Source organism: Homo sapiens, chromosome 3 (assembly GCF_000001405.40).
Source record: "Homo sapiens chromosome 3, GRCh38.p14 Primary Assembly".
Taxonomy (NCBI): Eukaryota; Metazoa; Chordata; class Mammalia; order Primates; family Hominidae; genus Homo; species Homo sapiens.
In genome coordinates this window covers 166,082,585-166,100,557 of record NC_000003.12, presented here as the reverse complement: position 1 = coordinate 166,100,557, position 17,973 = coordinate 166,082,585, and positions in this window count along the sequence as shown.

Sequence of the window (17,973 nt, the reverse complement as noted above, 5' to 3'; positions counted from 1 at the left end):
GATTTTCATAATTTTTCACATTCTGTAGTCCCGTAGTCTCACATTCTATAATGCATTATGAAGATGATCTAAAACAAAATCTTTTTACCTTTGAATATCCTTACAGAGGCAATTATCATAGTTGTTAATATAGAATCACCTAATTTTGAATGACTCACAAATCTTTTAAATTGGCATAGTAGTTACTGTAGTAGCTCAATATCCTACAGACATTTGTACAGAAGAGATTTCTGCAGAAAAAGCAGTATTGCTATGTGTATGCTGTAAATACCTTAAAAACCACAATGTACTCAGCTTATGTACGGATCTTTTTAAATTTCAGGGTTAACTTCCCATCTGAAACAGAAACATTTATCAAACATGAAAAGTGAGTATAAATTGTATGAAGCATAATGCAAAATTTAAGAATTGAGCATGTATAATCTTTTAGAAAAATAATCTTTTAGAAAATATAAATCTTTTATAATCTTTTAGAAAAATAAGTATTTATAATATTTTGGTAAATAATATTAAATATTGCCAAATAAATTAATTGCCTCAGTACATAGAATATGGGGCTTATGACCACATTAAAGTATGGTTCAAATATTTTCTTGTTTCTTTATAACTTTTAGAGAGGAAGAATCTTTCCAACATAGAATACTAATAATCTAGTTTCAGATCTGAAACTGAATACAGAATCAATCTTTTTACCTTAGAAGGAACTACTACTGCAAGATACGTCAGTTTTAAGTTGAAACATAAAGTATGTCATGGCTTGGGTCATCTTAATAGTATTAACATTTATTGTGGAATAAAAGTACTAAGCATAGTTGTATATACTTATTCCAGTCATGCATGTTTATCTACCTTTACATTAAAATATGTTTTTCTTCCTCATTTCCCCTAAAGTGTAATTTTATGGTAAGCAGTATCATAAATCAAATGAAGGTTGGATTCTAAGTGAATAAGAAATCATTACTAAGATGGGTTAGAAGAAGGAAACTGTAGGAGAATGTCTGTCTAATCTCTCAAAAGACCTAGGTTCTAGACTTTGATCCATTACTTTTGCACTATGTCAACTTGGGTTAATCAAGTTTGTTGTACAGATGCTACTGTCTCTACTCATAAGTGTATTTAATAATAACTACATTAGGTCAAAAGATACATCAATTGATGTATATTAAAAGATATTTTAACATTTCACTTACTATATCAATTTTCAAAGTTAAATAAATCCATTTGAAATCCCCATCAAAAGAATATTCATCCTGGGCCATATTATAAACCATGATTATTTGTATTCCTTTACTTCTCACCATATATATTTTTCTATAGTACTTTCTTGTCAGTGGTAGCACAGTAGGCTTTAATGATCAGATCAGGCATTGAATGTGTCAAATATTACAAATTTTTATTTAAATTTAAATAAAAGTGTTGTGCTCAGCATGTAGCAATTTATTACATATGTGTAACAGATTGTTTCAAATATACCAGCTTAAAAACATCCATTTATTATCTCACAGTTTCTATAAGTCAGAAGTATAGGCATAGTTTAGCTGTGTTCCCTTCTCTGATCCTACTGTAATCAAGGTGTCAGCTGGAGCTGCAGTTCTCATCTGAGGCTCAAAGTACTCCTCCATACTTATGTGGATGTTGGCAGAATTTATTTCCTGATGTTATAAAACCAAGGTCCTCAGCTCATGAAGTCACCTCACTCTATATGCAGTTCACAAATGGTTGTCTGCTTTCCTTAAGGTCACCATTGTAATGTCTCTTATGCTTCATCTTCTTTTAAAAGACTTCACCCAGTTATGGGAGGCACACCAAGAATTATACCTCTTTTGATTAACTTAATGTCAACTGATTAGGCCCTTTAATTACATCTGAAAAACATCTTTACTCTTGCCATGTAATCTAATCATGAAAATAATATTCATCATATTATCAGATCCCACCTACACTCAAGGATATTGCATTATACAGCGAATGTACACCAGCCATGTATACATGGCTCTTGGGGGCTGTCTTAGAATTCTGGCTACCACAATTATGCAAATGCAATAAACTTCAAGCAAAATCTTCTAACTTTTCTCTGCAACCACTTCTCAAATCACTTCCATTTCCAACAATATTGTCTTTTGGAACACACAATCCCAGTATAGAAATTCTGGAGGTGCAACTGCTATCACCCTGATGATAACTTTCCTCCAAGTCAGGGTTTCTCAACCTTATTTTTAAATTATCACCACCCTGTGGAGTCACTTTAGTCATTTATTTTCCCTAATCGCTCCTGTATAAAATTTTAATACTATAATACATAGCTAGGTAAAGAACGTACAGGGATCTCCCTGAAGTGAGAAAATATAGATCAACCTCCATATCACCATATGTAAAACTTTAATATTATATATGTACATGTATATCTGTAAATAGGCATATCTGTATTTTATACATAAAAAGAGTAAACTTTTTTTTCTATTTACAAACCAATTTGTACTCCTGTCATCTTTTTTTTATTTCTTATTTTTTGCAGGTACATAGAAGGTGTATAAATTTATGATGTACATGAGATATTTTGATACAGGCATACAATGTGTAATAATTATGTCAGGTGAAATGGGGTATGCATCACCTGAAGAACTTATCCATTCTTTGTTAAAAAGAATCCAAATATAATATTTTAGCTATTTTAAAATGTTCTATAAATTATTGTTGACTGTACTAATCCTGCTGTGCTATCAAATACTAGATCTTATTCATTCTATGTAAGTATATTTTTGTTCTCATTAACCATCTCCTCTTACCACCCCCTACTACCATTCCAAGGCACTGGTAATCAATGTTTTACACTCTATCTCCATTAGTCTCATTGTTTTAATTGTTAGCTTTCATAAGTAAGTGAGAACATGCAAGGTTTGTCTTTCTCTGACTGGTTTATTTCACTTAATGTCCTCCAGTTCCATCTATGCTATTGCAAATGACAGGATCTCAAATTTTTTTAGGGCTCAATGGTACTTCATTGTGTATATTGTGAATAGTGCTGCAATAAACATGAGAGTGCAGATAGATAATCTTTTCTATATACTGATTTTCTTTATTTTAGATATGTAGCTAGCAGCAGGCTTGCCTGATCATATGGTGGCTCTAATTTTAGTCTTTTGAGGAATCTCCAAACTCTTCCCTATAGTGATTGCACTAATTTACATTCCCACCAACAGTGTATGAGGGTTCCCTTTTCCTCAGTCCTCACTAGCATGTTAATATCTTTTAGACACAAAGTATCTTAACTGGGGTAAGGCTATATCTGAGGAGAGTTTTGATTTACTTTTACTGATGATCATTGATTTTGAGCACCTTTTCATATAACTGTTTGCTATATCTACATCTTCTGAGAAATGTCCATTTAGATATGCCCATTTTTTAGTTGGATTATTATTTTTTTTTTCTGCAGAGTTGTTTGAGCTTCTCATATATACTGGTTATTAATTATTTGTCAGATGAATAGCTTGCAAACATTTCCTCTCATCCTGTGGGTTTTCACTTCACTTTGTTGAAGATTTCTTTATTGTAGAGAAGCTTTTTAACTTGATGCGATCCCATTCGTCTGTATTTGTTTTGGTTTCCTGTACTTGTGCTCAATAAATTGCTAAAGAAATCTTGGCCCAGTCAGATTTCTTGGAGAGTTTCCCCAGTGGGTTTTCTTTTGGTAGTTTCACAGTTTGAGGTCTTAGATTTGTTGTTTGTCTATTTGGATTTGATTTTGTATATGGCAAGAGAGAGAAGTGTAGTTTCATTCTTCTGCATATTTTCTATCTAGTTTTGCCAGCACCACTTAATGAAGAAACTGTCCTTTCTTCAATGTATGGTCTTGGCATCTTTGTGAAAAATAAGTTCACTGTAGATGAATGGATTTATTTCTGGGTTCTCTATTATTTTCTATTAGGCTATGTATCTGTTTTTATACCAGTCCGGTAATGGTTTGATTACTATAGCTTTGTGGAATAATTCCAAGTCAGGTAATGTGATTTTTTCTAGTTTTGTTCTTTTTGCTCAGAATAGCTTTGGCTATTCTGCATTTTTTGTGGTTCCATATAAAGTTATGCCCTACTCTTCATGGTATCAATTTACTGTATTAGTTTATTTTCACACTACTATAAAGATACTACATGAGACCGGGTAATTTATAAAGGAAAGTAGTTTAATTGACTCACAGTTCCATATGGCTGGGAAAGCTTCAGGAAACTTACAATCATGGCAGAAGGGGAAGCAAGCACCTTCTTTACAAGGCAGCAAAAGAGAGAACAAGTGAAGAGGGAAGAGCCCCTTATAAAACCAACCGATCTCATGAGAACTCACTCACTATCACAAGAACAGCATGCCGGGAACTACCCCTATGATCCAATCACCTCTCACTGGGTTCCTCCCTTGACACATGGGGATTACATTTTGAGATGAGATTTGAGTGGGGACCCAGAGCCAAACCATATCATCAACTTTTTGTTTTGTTGATCTTTTTCATTATTTTCTTTGTTTTAATTTTGTTTATTCTCAGATCTTTACTATTTCTTTGCTTCTACTATTTTGGGTTTTGTTTGCTCTTGCTTTTCTATCTTTCTTTTTGTATCATTAAGTTGTTTATTTGAAGTTTTTCTACTTTTTTTGAGGTAGGCAATCATACCTCTAAACTTTTCTGTTAGTACTGATTTTGCTATATCTCATAGGTTTTTATATGTTATGTTTTAATTATTATTAGTTTCATTTTGGGGGGAATTTTCTTCTTAATCTCTTCATGACCCACTGGTAATTCAGGAGCATATTGTTTAATTTGCATGTATGGAAATTATGGAAATCCATCTATGGAAACTATACATATGTATAGAATACACATATGTATAGTTTCCAGTATACTATAGTTTATAGTATACACATATGTATAGTGTACACATATGTATTACTTTGTAATTTTTATTTACTTCTAGTTTTATTCTATTGCAGTCAGAGAAGATACATGCTATACTTTCAATTTTTTTGAATTTTTAACACTTGGTATGTGGTCTCACATATCATCTATTCTTGAGCGTGATCCATATGCTGAGGAGATAAATGTATATTCTGCAGTCATTGAATGAAACATTCTGTAAATACCTATTAGGTCCATTTAATCTAACGTGCAGATAAAATGTCATCTTTCTTTGCCTTTTTAGTGCCTATCTTAGCTCTAATAATAATTCCTTTATATATGTGGGTGCTCCAGGCTTGGGTACATATGTGTTTAAAATTATTATATCCTCTTGATGAACTTACACTTTACCATTATATAAAGACTACCTTTGTCATCTTGTATACAATTTGTGTTAATGTCTTATATACATATACACTCTTTCTCTTTTTTGATTTCCATTTGCATGAAATATCATTTTCCATTCCTTTATTTTCAATGTATGTGTTTTTACACATAAAATGTTTTTCTTATAAACAATGTATAATTGGGTCTTTTTAAAAAAATTTATTCATCCACTTTATTTCTCTTGATTGGAGAATTTAGTATATTTAAATTCAGTGTTTTTATTGATGAGTAGAGACCTCTTATTTCTGCCTTTTTGTTATTATTTTTCTGATTACTTTGTTGTCTTCCCTTTCTTCTTTCCTTTCTGTCTTTCTTGTAGTGAAGATGATTTTCTCTGGTGTGTTTTAATTTCTTGCTTTTCTTTTTTTTGTAAATTTGTCTCATATTCTTTAATTTGACATTACCACATGGCTTGTAAATAATATCTATGACCCATTATTTTAAACTAATGACAACTTAACACTTGTTGCATAAACAAACTAACAAGCAAAGAAAAATCTAATTAAAACTGTGTACTTTAACTTCATTCCCTCACTTCTTATTTTTTTAATCTTTTATTTTAGGTTCAGGTATACATGTGCATTTTTTCTTGTTTCTGTTTGTATGTTATTATACTGTCTATGTCTTGAAAAGTTGTTGTAGTTATTATTTTTTATTGGTTCAAAATGTAGTCTTTCTACTCCTGATATGAGTAGTTTACACACCACAATTAAAGTGTTATTATTTTTAAGGGGTACTTACTGTTACCAATGATTTGCTCCTTCCGATGATTTCTTAGTCCTTTTCTTTCAGATTAAAAAGCTTCCTTTATCATTTTCTGTAAGACAGATCTGGTATTAATGAAATCCCTCAGCTTTTGCTTGTCTGGGAAAGTCTATATTTCTCCTTTATGTTTGGAAGATATTTTCAACAGATATACTATTCTAGGGCAAGAATTTTTTTCCCTCAACATTAAAAATTTTATGCCACTCTCTCCTGGCCTGTAAGATTTCTACTGAAAAGCCTGCTGCCTGACATATTGAAGCTGTCTTGTATGTTGTTTTTATGTTGTTGTTGTTGGTGGTGGTGGTGGTGGTGGTGGTGGTGGTGTTTTTCTTTTGCTGCTTTTAGGATCCTTTCTTTATCCTTGACCTCTGGAAGACTGATGATTAAATGTCTTGAAGTAGCCTTCTTTCTTTTAAATCTGCAAGGTGTTCTATACCCTTCTTGTATTTGATATTGATATATTTCTCTAGGTTTGGGAATTTCTCTGTTATTATTACTTTGAATAAATTTTCTGCCCCCAATCTCTCCCTCTGCCTCCTTTATAAGGCCAATAACTGTTAGATTTTCTTTTTTGAGGATAGTTTATAAATCTTGTAGACATACTTTATTCTTTTTCATTCTTTTTGTCTCTTGTCTCCTCTGACTGTGTATTTTCTGTAGCCTCTTTTTAAGCTCACTAATTCCTAGGCTTATTTGAATTCATTTCTGGGCTCTCTATTTTTTTTCCACTTGTCTACATGTCTCTTTTTGTGCCAGTATAATATGGTTTTGATTACCATAACTTTGTAATATAATTTTAAATCACAAAGTGTGATGTTTCCAACTTTTTTTTTCTCAGAATTGTTTTGGCAATCTGGGTTTCTTTATGGTTCCTTATGAATTTTAGTATTTTTTTCCATTTTTGTGATGAACACTATTTAAATTTTCATAATAGCTATATTGAATCTGTATATTGTTTGGGTAACATAGATATTTTAACAATATTAATTCCTTCAATCCATGAAAATAAAACATTTTTCCATTTATTTTTGTCTTTCTCAGTTTAACAAACTTCCTTGACAAAAACTATCAACCATTTCAATATAGAAAGTTACTAAGGATAATAAAGGCCATTTATGATAAAAACACAACTAACATTATAATCAATGGAGAAAAAAATGAAAACCTTTCCACTAAGATTTGGTACAAGGCAAAGATGCCCACTCTGGCCACATCTATTCAATATAGTACCAGAAATATTAGCAAGAGCAATCAGACCAGAAAAATAAATAACTAAAAGAAATCCAAATTGGAAATAAAAATGTATAATTATCTCTATTTGCAAATGTCATGATCCCATATGTAACAAAACTCAAAAATTCTGTTTAAGAAACTGTGAATTAATATACAAATACAATAAAGTTGAATAATACCAAAATAATCTACAAAACTCAGTGGCATTTTTACACGCAAATATTGACCTAATTGAGTAAGAAATCAAGAAAACAATTCCATTTAAGACAGTATTAAATAAATAAAATACCTAGCTATAAATTTAGCCAATGAGTTGAAAGAACTATACAATGAAACTTATAAATCCTTATGTTCTTTCTTTTGGGAGGGACTCTTCTAGGTGTTGGATAGAAAATGATGAATAACCTTGATATGTTTAGAATCTTATACAATACTTCTAAAAACTTAGTGTGTATGTATATATATATATATATATGAATATATATATATATATATATATATATATATGAATCTTCTTGAGAGCTTATTAAAACACAGATTCCTGGACACATCAGAGCTTCTATTTCTGTAAGTTTGGGAATGAGGCCCAAGATTCTATATTTCTAACAAGTGTCCAGAGCTGATGTGGCTGGTCTGCACACCACAATTTTATGAGAATTTATTGATACTGTTGCATAAGCCATTTTTTGTAGCAAGTTTATATTCTGCTGAATAGATTCTAGGCATACTTCTTCATTCTACTCAGATTCCTCATATATCCCATTATTTCTACTACTTCTCCTTTCCTTACAATTGCTTCTAGAATGTTTGCTTTCATATACCCAAATCCTGGGATGGCTTGAAATAAAAATATATCTTTCCTCAATAGGAATTCCCTTTCTCTGACAGCTTTTAAAATACCTTATTTTCCTTAATATGCTTATTACCAAAAAGAAAAGGCAGTATTCTTATGTGAAAATGTTGGAAAATAAATCATGCAAGATTCATTTATATGGAAAGTGATATAATTTAGCTCTGTGTCTCCACAAAGTAAGTCAATTAAACCCCTTTCCTTTATAAATGACCCAGTATCAGGTTGTATCTTTATAGCAGTGTGAGAACAAACTAATACAGTAAATTGACACAGCAGAGAGTGGGGTACTGCTGAAAGATAACCTGAAAATGTGGAAGCAACTTTGGAACTGGGTAACAGGCAGAAGTTGAAACAGTTTGGAGGGCTCAAAAGAAGACAGGAAAATGTGGGAAAGTTTGGAACTACCTAGAGACCTGTTGAATGGTTTTAGCCAGAATGCTGATAATGATTTGAATGTTTTGGACAATGAAGTCCAGGCTGAGGTGGTCTCAGATGGAGATGAAGAACATATTGGGAACTGGAGCAAAGGTCACTCTTTCTTGCTTTAACAAAGAGGCTGGCAGCCTTTTGCCCCTGCCCTAGAGATCTGCAGAAATTTGAACTTGAGAGAGATGATTTAGTGTATCTGGCAGAAGAAATTTATAAGCAGCAAAGTAGTTAAGATATAATCTGGTTGTTCCTAAAAGTGTAAGCTCATATGTGTGAAGAAAGAGATGTTCTTAAATTGGAACTTATATTTAAAAGGAAACCAGAGCATAAAAGTTAAAAAAATTTGCAATCTGACCATGAGGTAGAATAGAAAAATCAATTTTCCAGGGAGAAATTCAAGCTGCAGAAATTTGCATAACTAATGAGGAGTTGAATGTTAATTGCCAAGACAATGGGGAAAGTGTCTCCAGGGTATTTTAGAGATCTTCACAGCAGCCCCTTCCATCACAGGTCCAGAGGCCTAGGGTTGAAAAATGAATTCATGGGCCAGGCCCAGGGCCCTGCTGTTTTGTGCAGCCTTGGAATATGGCATCTTGCATCCCAGCTGCTCCAGCTATAGCTGTGGCTAAAAGGGGTCAAGATACAGCTTGGGCAGTGGCTTCAGAGGGTGCAAACCCCAAGCCCTGGCAGCTTCCATGAGGTGTTGGGCCTGCATGTACACAAAAGGCAAGAATTGAGGTTCGGGAACCTCCACCTAGATTTCAGAGGATGTATGGAAACTCCTGGATGTCCAGGCAGATGTCTGCTTCAGGGGCAGACCCCTCAAGGAGAACCTCTCCTAGGGCAGTACAGAAGGGAAATGTGGGATTGGAACCCCCACACGGTTCCCAATGGGATACTGCCTAGTAGAGCCATAAGAGGATCACTGTACTCCAGACCCCAGAATGGTAGATACACTTATAGCTTGCACCTGGAAAAGGCACAGGCACTCAATGCAAGCCAGTGAAAGCAGCCCTGGGGGCTGTACCTTGTAGACCATAGGGGTGGAGCGGCCCAAGGGCCTCAGAGCCCTCCTCTTGCATCAGTGTGCCGTGGATGTGAGACATGGGGTCAAAGGAGATTATTTTGGCACATTAAGATTTAATGACTGCCTTGCTGGATTTCAGACTTGCATGGGGCCTGTAGCCTCTTTGGTTTGTCCAGTTGCTCCCATTTGGAGCAGGAGCGTTTACCCAATGCCTATACCCCATTATATCTTGGAAGTACTAACTTTTAATTTTTTTTATAGGCTCATAGGCTGAAGGGACTTGCCTTGTCTCAGATAAGACTTTGGACTTGGACTTTTGAGTTAATGCTAAAATGAGTTAAGACTTTGGTGGGGGTCCTGTTGGGATGGCATGATTGATTTTGCAATGTGAGACAGACAGGAGATTAGGGAGGGGCCAGGAGTGGAGTGATATGGTTTGGTTCAGTGTCCCTACCCAAATTGCATGTCAAATTATAATACCCACATGTCAGAGGAGGGATCTGGAGACAGGTGATTTGATCATGGGGATGGATTGCCCCCATGCTGTTCTCATGATAGTGAGTCAGTTCTCATGATATCTAATGGTTTAAAAGTGTGGCACTTCCCCCTTCACTCTCCCTTTCCTGCCATCACGTGAGACATGTCTCGCTTCCCCTTTACCTTCCTCCATGATTGTAAGTTTCCTGAGGCCTCCCAGCCATGAAGAACTGTGAGTCCATTGAACCTCTTTTCTTTATTAACACCTCAGTCTCAGGTAGTTCTTTATAGCAGTGTGGAAATGGATTTATACAGAGAGCAAAATTTAGTCAGAATAAGAATCCATTATTTACATTCTATTTATGTGAATAGCAGCAACTTTTTCTTGTAAATACCTAATTGAGTACTGTAAGTAAGCAAAATTTGTATCCAAAATAATCTGACTTACTAATATATTTAATTATTTTCATGACATATAATGTTTACACATGGATACAAGGTATTATGTTTGAAATGATAAAGCTAGGCCAGTATTTTTTTCTTCCATAATCAACGTGTTAGTTCCCTACAATCTATAAATAACATCAATTCAATGCATTTTCTAACAATGTGCATAACTTAATATTTCTCTCTTACTCATGCATTAGAGAGGGACACATTCATGCATAATACATTTATATGTCTGGGCTTCCTTCTCCTAGTCGTCTTTGATAGAACACATCTCATTTTTTTTCCGAGCATGTATTATATCTGTTTGTGTCTGTGTCTAAGAAAGAGGCATGGGGATGACTACAGTATGCTGAAAGGCATGAACCTAATCTTTTTTGATATAATATGCAGGAACCAGAGTGGAAAAAGAAAGCAAAAAGAGAACAATTTTTAAATGAAGCCATGTATTTTGTTCACAAAGTAGCAGATCTCCATTCATTCAGTAAATCAGAATTAAATGTGTGATCAATTCACTTCTTTATGCAATTTTTAAATGTCTAATGGCCCTTGTTTACCACATATTCATTGTAAGTATACTTTTATGGGTTAAGGGTCATAATACAGGTAGAATTCATTTTTCACAGATATTTCTGTTGATACAAGTATTTATGAATCATTCAAAACCTATGGTCAATTGTCATTAATGAGTCAATAATGAAATGCATAATTAATGGATTTTCATGATAGGTGGCAGTGAGTAAAGAATCCATAATGATAATTGTGCCTCTTGTGTCTCTACTGAAGGACAGATTACATGATGCATTTTAACTACCATAATAAACAGTGATCAGGTATTTTTTAAATGAATTTATGCCACAGTTTAGATTTAAGAAAAGAGAAATTAATCATGCATTGAAATTAGCACTGAACAGGTTCATGTAATACCCAAATATTTAAAATATTTTTTCTTTTTGAAGACTGAACACACACACAAACATACAATAACTTGAAATTATCAAGGTTTACTTTTTTTTTTTTTAGTCCAAAGTCCCTCAATCTAAAGCTAATTGTTACTACTGTTTGAGTTTCATATATCTCTAAGAAAATCAAAGCATTGACAAGGTCTTCAGCGCTGACTTCAAACTTTCAAAAGCCCCATATGAATATATTTAGAAATAATAAGCCATTGTACAATCCTTCATTACACTTTTATTTTACCTACCATAAAAGACATCAAAATTGTTCATTCTTTATACAGATAAAAATGGGAACTACTAATCCATTAAATGCAACTTTGAATTTAATGCAGCAGTACACAGGTGAGCAGATATTTCAACTTCAACTAAATGCATTAGCTCTTTCTAATGCTAGGCCTCTCTTTTATCTCATTTGGCCATGTATTCAAAAAATTAGCACCAAAAGCAGGTGTTTAGCTTCTCACAGGATTTTCTATAACAGAGTGTGATTTATTAAATAATGACCACAGTAACACCTGATATTGAATAAAAGACTTAGAAGCCTATCCCTTTCTTTAGCAGGGACTGAGGTAGGGTTTACCTCCAGGTACCTGGGTGATCAGTTCTCAGTGTTTGCTTCCAAAACTCCCTCCTGTACAGAGCCAAATCAAGATTCTGTATGTCTTCAAAAACTAAAATAGCCTCAAGCCATATTTTCAATAAACCTAATCTCCCGAATTACGTCCAATAGACTTGACATTATTTTTGACATCATCTGAATCATAGTTCCCAACTCATAAAAAACAAGAACAAATGTACATAATTTTAATTGACATTTCGGAATGTTCAATACATGATTGGAAAATAAAAAACATGAACAATAGTAACAAAAGGAATAGGAAATAATAGAACGTGCACAAGAAGTTTAGTAAGCACAGTAAATACTTTCAATTCAATTCATTTATTATAATAAAATAATTGCAGAGATTCTTTTGATTTGGTATTTGGTATTATTTTATTATTTTCTGTAAATGTTTTTGTAATCTACTGGATGGTTTGAATAACCAAGCCAAGGATAATTATATGCAAATGATTAAGAGGTCAGTAGCAGATAAACTTGGAAAATAAAATAAAATCAAACACATTTTAAAAGTGAGCATAAAACAATATATAATTTATTTGTAAGGGGTTTTTGGAGTGTCAAATTATGCATAAAATTAAAAAAAATTCTCTATATGTCAGTGAGATGAAAATATTAAAAGTCTCCCAAATATGTGGAAATATTTAATTGGTTCTAAAAAACTATTTTATTATGCTATTCACATTTCTAGATGTGATTCAAGAAAGTAAAATGTTGAGTCAGGGCTAGAGCTATATATAGAGGTAAAATAAAAATCAGTCACCAAACAAATAAAGTATATTATTTCTCCTTTTCCCAGAAGAAAAAAAAAAATAGCCTCACCTGGGGAGAGGCCTGACTACTTGAAAGAAATTTTACATAACACATTATCCACAAGAGAACTAGTGCAGATGATTCATGAAGCACGCGAGAGTTACAAAGGACACTGAGACATAAATATATGAGCAAGTAGAAGATAGTCATGAATATGAAAACAGGAGAAGGTGAATGGGAGAATGCCTTTCATTATGTACCACCAGTTATAATTTAATAAAAATCCGGTGCAAGATTTTTTAGATCAGAGTAGTTAAAAACACAATTTAAGACTTATAAAAAATAACTACTTAGGATTGGAAGAGAAGGATTCCCGAGAGGCCATTGCTAGTGCATAACTTCAGATTTTATTTTATGGTCATTAGAATATAAATTTGTAATTACAGGAGGAGACACATAAGCCAATAGCAAGATGTCATGTTTAATTTAGAACTTTTATATTACACAGACTTACTCTAACTGTAAGCTGTTTTCCAGGAATTGTTTTATTTCTTCACATACGAATTCTTTGTATTTGTTGTAATATTTGACCATTTTTCAAAAATAAAGAAGCACTGCTGCTACCACTAAGTGGCTAAAGATAAAATGGTTTGACTTATCTTTTTAAGTAGGTAAATAAACAACATTGAAACGTACTTCAAATGATAAAAAAGGATTAGATTTGAAAAATATAAAAGGATATCCAGAAAATCTGACTAGTAGATTCATTTATAATACATGCCTTAGTTAATTGATGAATATGCTTATGTAACATGAAGGACCATGAATTACACAAAGAAAATGTGCATTTCCAAATGTTCTAAATTCTCTTAACATTTCCAATGTACTTTATTTTTATTTCTTACCCTGATTCCGCAGGCCATTTAAAGTGACAAAGTAACTCTTTGAAAATATTGTCCATCTGACTTCTACACATCACACCATAGTGGAAATCATCCATTCTATGATCAGTAGAAGGTCATATGAATGCTGATGCCTAAGTTTCTGCTAGCTCCCAAGTGAGAGCTACAAATTACCCCAGCTCAGAGACTTCCAGAAGAGCTGCTGAGATATGTTCCAAACATTATAGAGGACAATGCAGATGTGATGGCTGCTAGCTACAAAGAAACTCAGCCACATGTTACCCTAGTGTAGGACTAATCAAAGTCTCAGGGAGGTTTGCATGAGGCTCTGACAGTGGTGAGGCAGCAGCAGTAGTCTCTCAGTCACCAAAACCCCAAAACAAGAGGCAATTTGAAAGAGTGGAGGAAACTTTTAGCAACCAATGTTCCCAAAACACATAGATCTTTGACAGAAAGGTAGGTTTGCTACCAAAGTAAAACGCTAGTTAGTAAGACCAGTAGCAGAGGAAAGAAGGCCAGATTGTTGGAGCTCAGAAAATTCCTGCAAGAATACATGTGCTTTATGGATGACAGTTAGGGGACTGATAAAATCAAATGGACCAGCAGAACTCACAGAGATGTAGAAGAAAAGCACAACCAAACAGATGATACAATGCAAAAACCCAGAATGGGCTTGTCTGTTCTGTCTAGCAAATATTACAAAAGTCAATTTCTGGACTTTGAAGAATTAACATGATAAACAAGTCAGGGACAAGAACAAGAACAAAGTCAGAGAACATATCACTTCTCTTTTCCTGGGAGGTGCTTTAAACATTCCAGAACAAGCTAGATTTTGGAGCTAACATTTCTCTTCAGTTATTTTTGTATCTTGCTTATCCTTCTTTTTTTTTTTCTGTTAAGCTGTAAAATTGTATAATGTTCTAAGTGATGAATTGCATAGACATGTTGCTTGGCTATTGGCATTAGTCTCTGCTTTTGGCTACGATGAAAGTTAAAACTCATGATATCAAATTATCTATACTCATAAATTCTTTTAAAATTGCACAATTCTAATAATGTCTCATCCCAGAAGAAAAAAAAGTAATAAGTCTTGTTATGGCTTGAATTGTGTCTCACCCAAACTTATATTTTGAAGTCCTAAACCGCAGTGACTCAGAATGTAACTCTATCTGGAAATGGGATCTTTACAGAAGTAATAAAGTTGAAATGATATCATCAGGATGGGCCCTAATCTAATATAATCAATGTCCTTTTAAAAGGGAGAAATTTGGCATATTAATAGTTACAAACATAGAAGAATATCATGTGAAGATGAATTTGTGGTGCTTCCATAAGCCAAGGGATGCCAAAGATTACCAGCAACCACAAGTAGCTAGACAATAGGCTGAAACAGATGCTTTCTCACAGCCTTCAGAAGGAACCAACCCTGCCAGCACCTGAATGTTTGTCTTCTAGCCTTCACAATTGTGAGACAATACATTTCTGTTAAATTTAAGCGACCACCTGTTGTACTTTCGTACAGCAGCTCTAACAGGAAAATATAGATCTTCACACATAAAGTGTATTATAGGAAGAATCTATATGACTATGTGCAATTCTGTTTCCAGTTTTCAGAGCTCTGCCTGACCAGTAAAAATCCCATTGTGGACTACAAAGTTTAAACAAGAGAGTAGCCTCCACAGTTCCCTTGCAATTGGACAACAAAATAGCATTACTACCATGACTGGCTTTTGGCAAGTAGCCATGGATATTGGTAATCTTTTGTTTCTTGTATTATTCTGTGATGAAAACTGAAACCAATTTGCCTTCATCCAACAAGGAATAGTATATAACCCTACTATTCTGAATTCATCAGTAATATATCATCAAAATAATGGATAAACTCAAGTACAATGTGAAATGCTCATGGGTAGTCAGGCAATCTTGTAAACTGATGTCTTTATTTGAGAAAAGAGTGGTATTTTTTCCTAATATAAGTGTATGAAGAAACAAATGTAAATACTTTAGAGGCTCCCACAAAATTCAGCATATTTTGGTTTTAGAAAATTTTAGTTCTGAAGAATTTCCTTTGTATTTTCTTCTATGATCCATGAATTAATTAAAGGTCTGTTGCTTAATTATTTGGAGATTTTCTAGATACCTCGTTGTTATAGTTTACAAAATTCCATTGATTGTGGTAAAGAAACATACTCTGCATGATTTCAATAAGTTGAAATTTGATGAAAAAGTTCAGTGGCCCAGCATATGATGTATCTTGGAAAATGTTCCAGGTGAATTTGAAAAAAAATTGTATAATTTGAATGTCAGGTGAAGAACTCTGTAATGTCAGCTGGGTTAAATAGATTAATAGTGTTCACGTTTCTACTAAAATGTCTGAAGTTTCTATTTCTCTTAATTTTAATCATTGGTGCGATGTATATTTTGAAACTCTGTTATTAAATCCATACATATTTAGGCTTCTTATGCCTTTTTGATGTATTGATCATTTTATAAACATAGTATGTTCCTCTTTATCTTTAAACATATTCCTTGTCTCAAACTCTACATTATCTGATATTAATACAGCCACTCTAGCTTTTTTTATAACTTGTGTTAAGCATTTTATCTTTACATCTTCTCATTTTCAACTCATGTGTGTCCTTACATTTGAAGTTCATATTTTGTCATTAGCATAACATTTCATTTATCTCAAAATGTCTTCTCTCACTTTAATTTTTAAGTATATGTTCGCTGACTAGAGTATTCTTCATTGATAGTTTTTGTTTTTATTTTTTCTTTCAGCACTTTATGCTATTTTATTTTGGCTTCCATTGTTTCTGATTAGTCTGCTCTTTGTCTTGATATTCTATACTTAATATGACTTTTTATCTTGGGTTATTTTTGAGATTTCTATTATTTATAGTTTTTAGAAGTTTGAGCAAAGTGTGACTAGACATGGTTTTCTTTGTATTTAATCTATTTTGTGTTTTGTGAGATTCCTGAATCTGTGGATTGTTTCTGAGCAGTTACAGCTGTCCTGTTACTGCACCATAATAGAAGAGAAATCAACTTATTGAAAGAAAAGTCATGACTCAATCATTCTCATTCTGCAGTAGGTCCTTGCAAAACTAAGTGGACAAGATTCAGATAGTTCTATTGTTAAATTGAAATAATAGCTCCAATTAAAGATGAACATGCACCCAAGACCGTAAACCAGTAACTGCTTCCAGTTAGACACAAGAAAGGCTTTTCTATAGTAATAATAATATTTAAAAAAGACTTAATAAGGCATTGCTTATAATACTTGACACTTAAATTGATAGCGTACTTGACTTTAAACAGCCCACCTCTGGACTGTGATAAAGCAAAGAGAATATTATAGCTATCCATCATAATGACGATAAATTGCTGCTGTCTCAATCTATTAAGTGTATTTTTTCTTATAGTATTCATAATTACAGTGTAAGATTTCTTGAGTCAGCACCGTTGATATTTTGGAACAAATAATTGTTTCATTGGGGGACTATTATGGGCATTGTAGAATGTTTAGTACCATCCCTGGCCTCTACTTATGAGGTGCCAATAACATCCCTTTTCATTGCCAATTGTGACTATCAACAATGTTTCCAGACATTGCCACCTATCCCTTACAGGCAAAATAACTCCCAGTTGAGAACCACGGCTATAGAGCAGGGGTCCCTAACCTCCGGGCCACTGAACAATACTGGCCTTTGGCCTGTTAGGAACTGGGCTGCACAACAGGAGGTGAGTAGCCTGTGAATGAGCATTACCACCTGAGCTCTGCCTTCTGTCAATTCAGTGGCAGCACTAGATCCTCATAGGAGCACAAACCCTATTGGGAACTGTGCACTTGAGGGATCTAGGTTGTACAGTCCTTATGAGAATCTAACTAATGTGTGATAATCTGAGGTTTAACAGTTCATCCCAAAACCCTGTCCCACCCTGTCCGTGGAAAAATTTTCTTCCACAAAACCTGTCCCTGGTGCCAATAAGGTTGGGGACTGCTGCTATAGAGCATACCTCCTTGAAAGTGACTAAAAAAATATATATCATTTACTACTTTTTCAGTTTTGTTTCTGGAGGTGTTGGGGGATACCTTTACTAATCACTTGTCTGCATAAGATTATTGGTCTACCCAAGCTGATATGGCACAGTACTTGGTTTCTTTCCTTTGGATGCA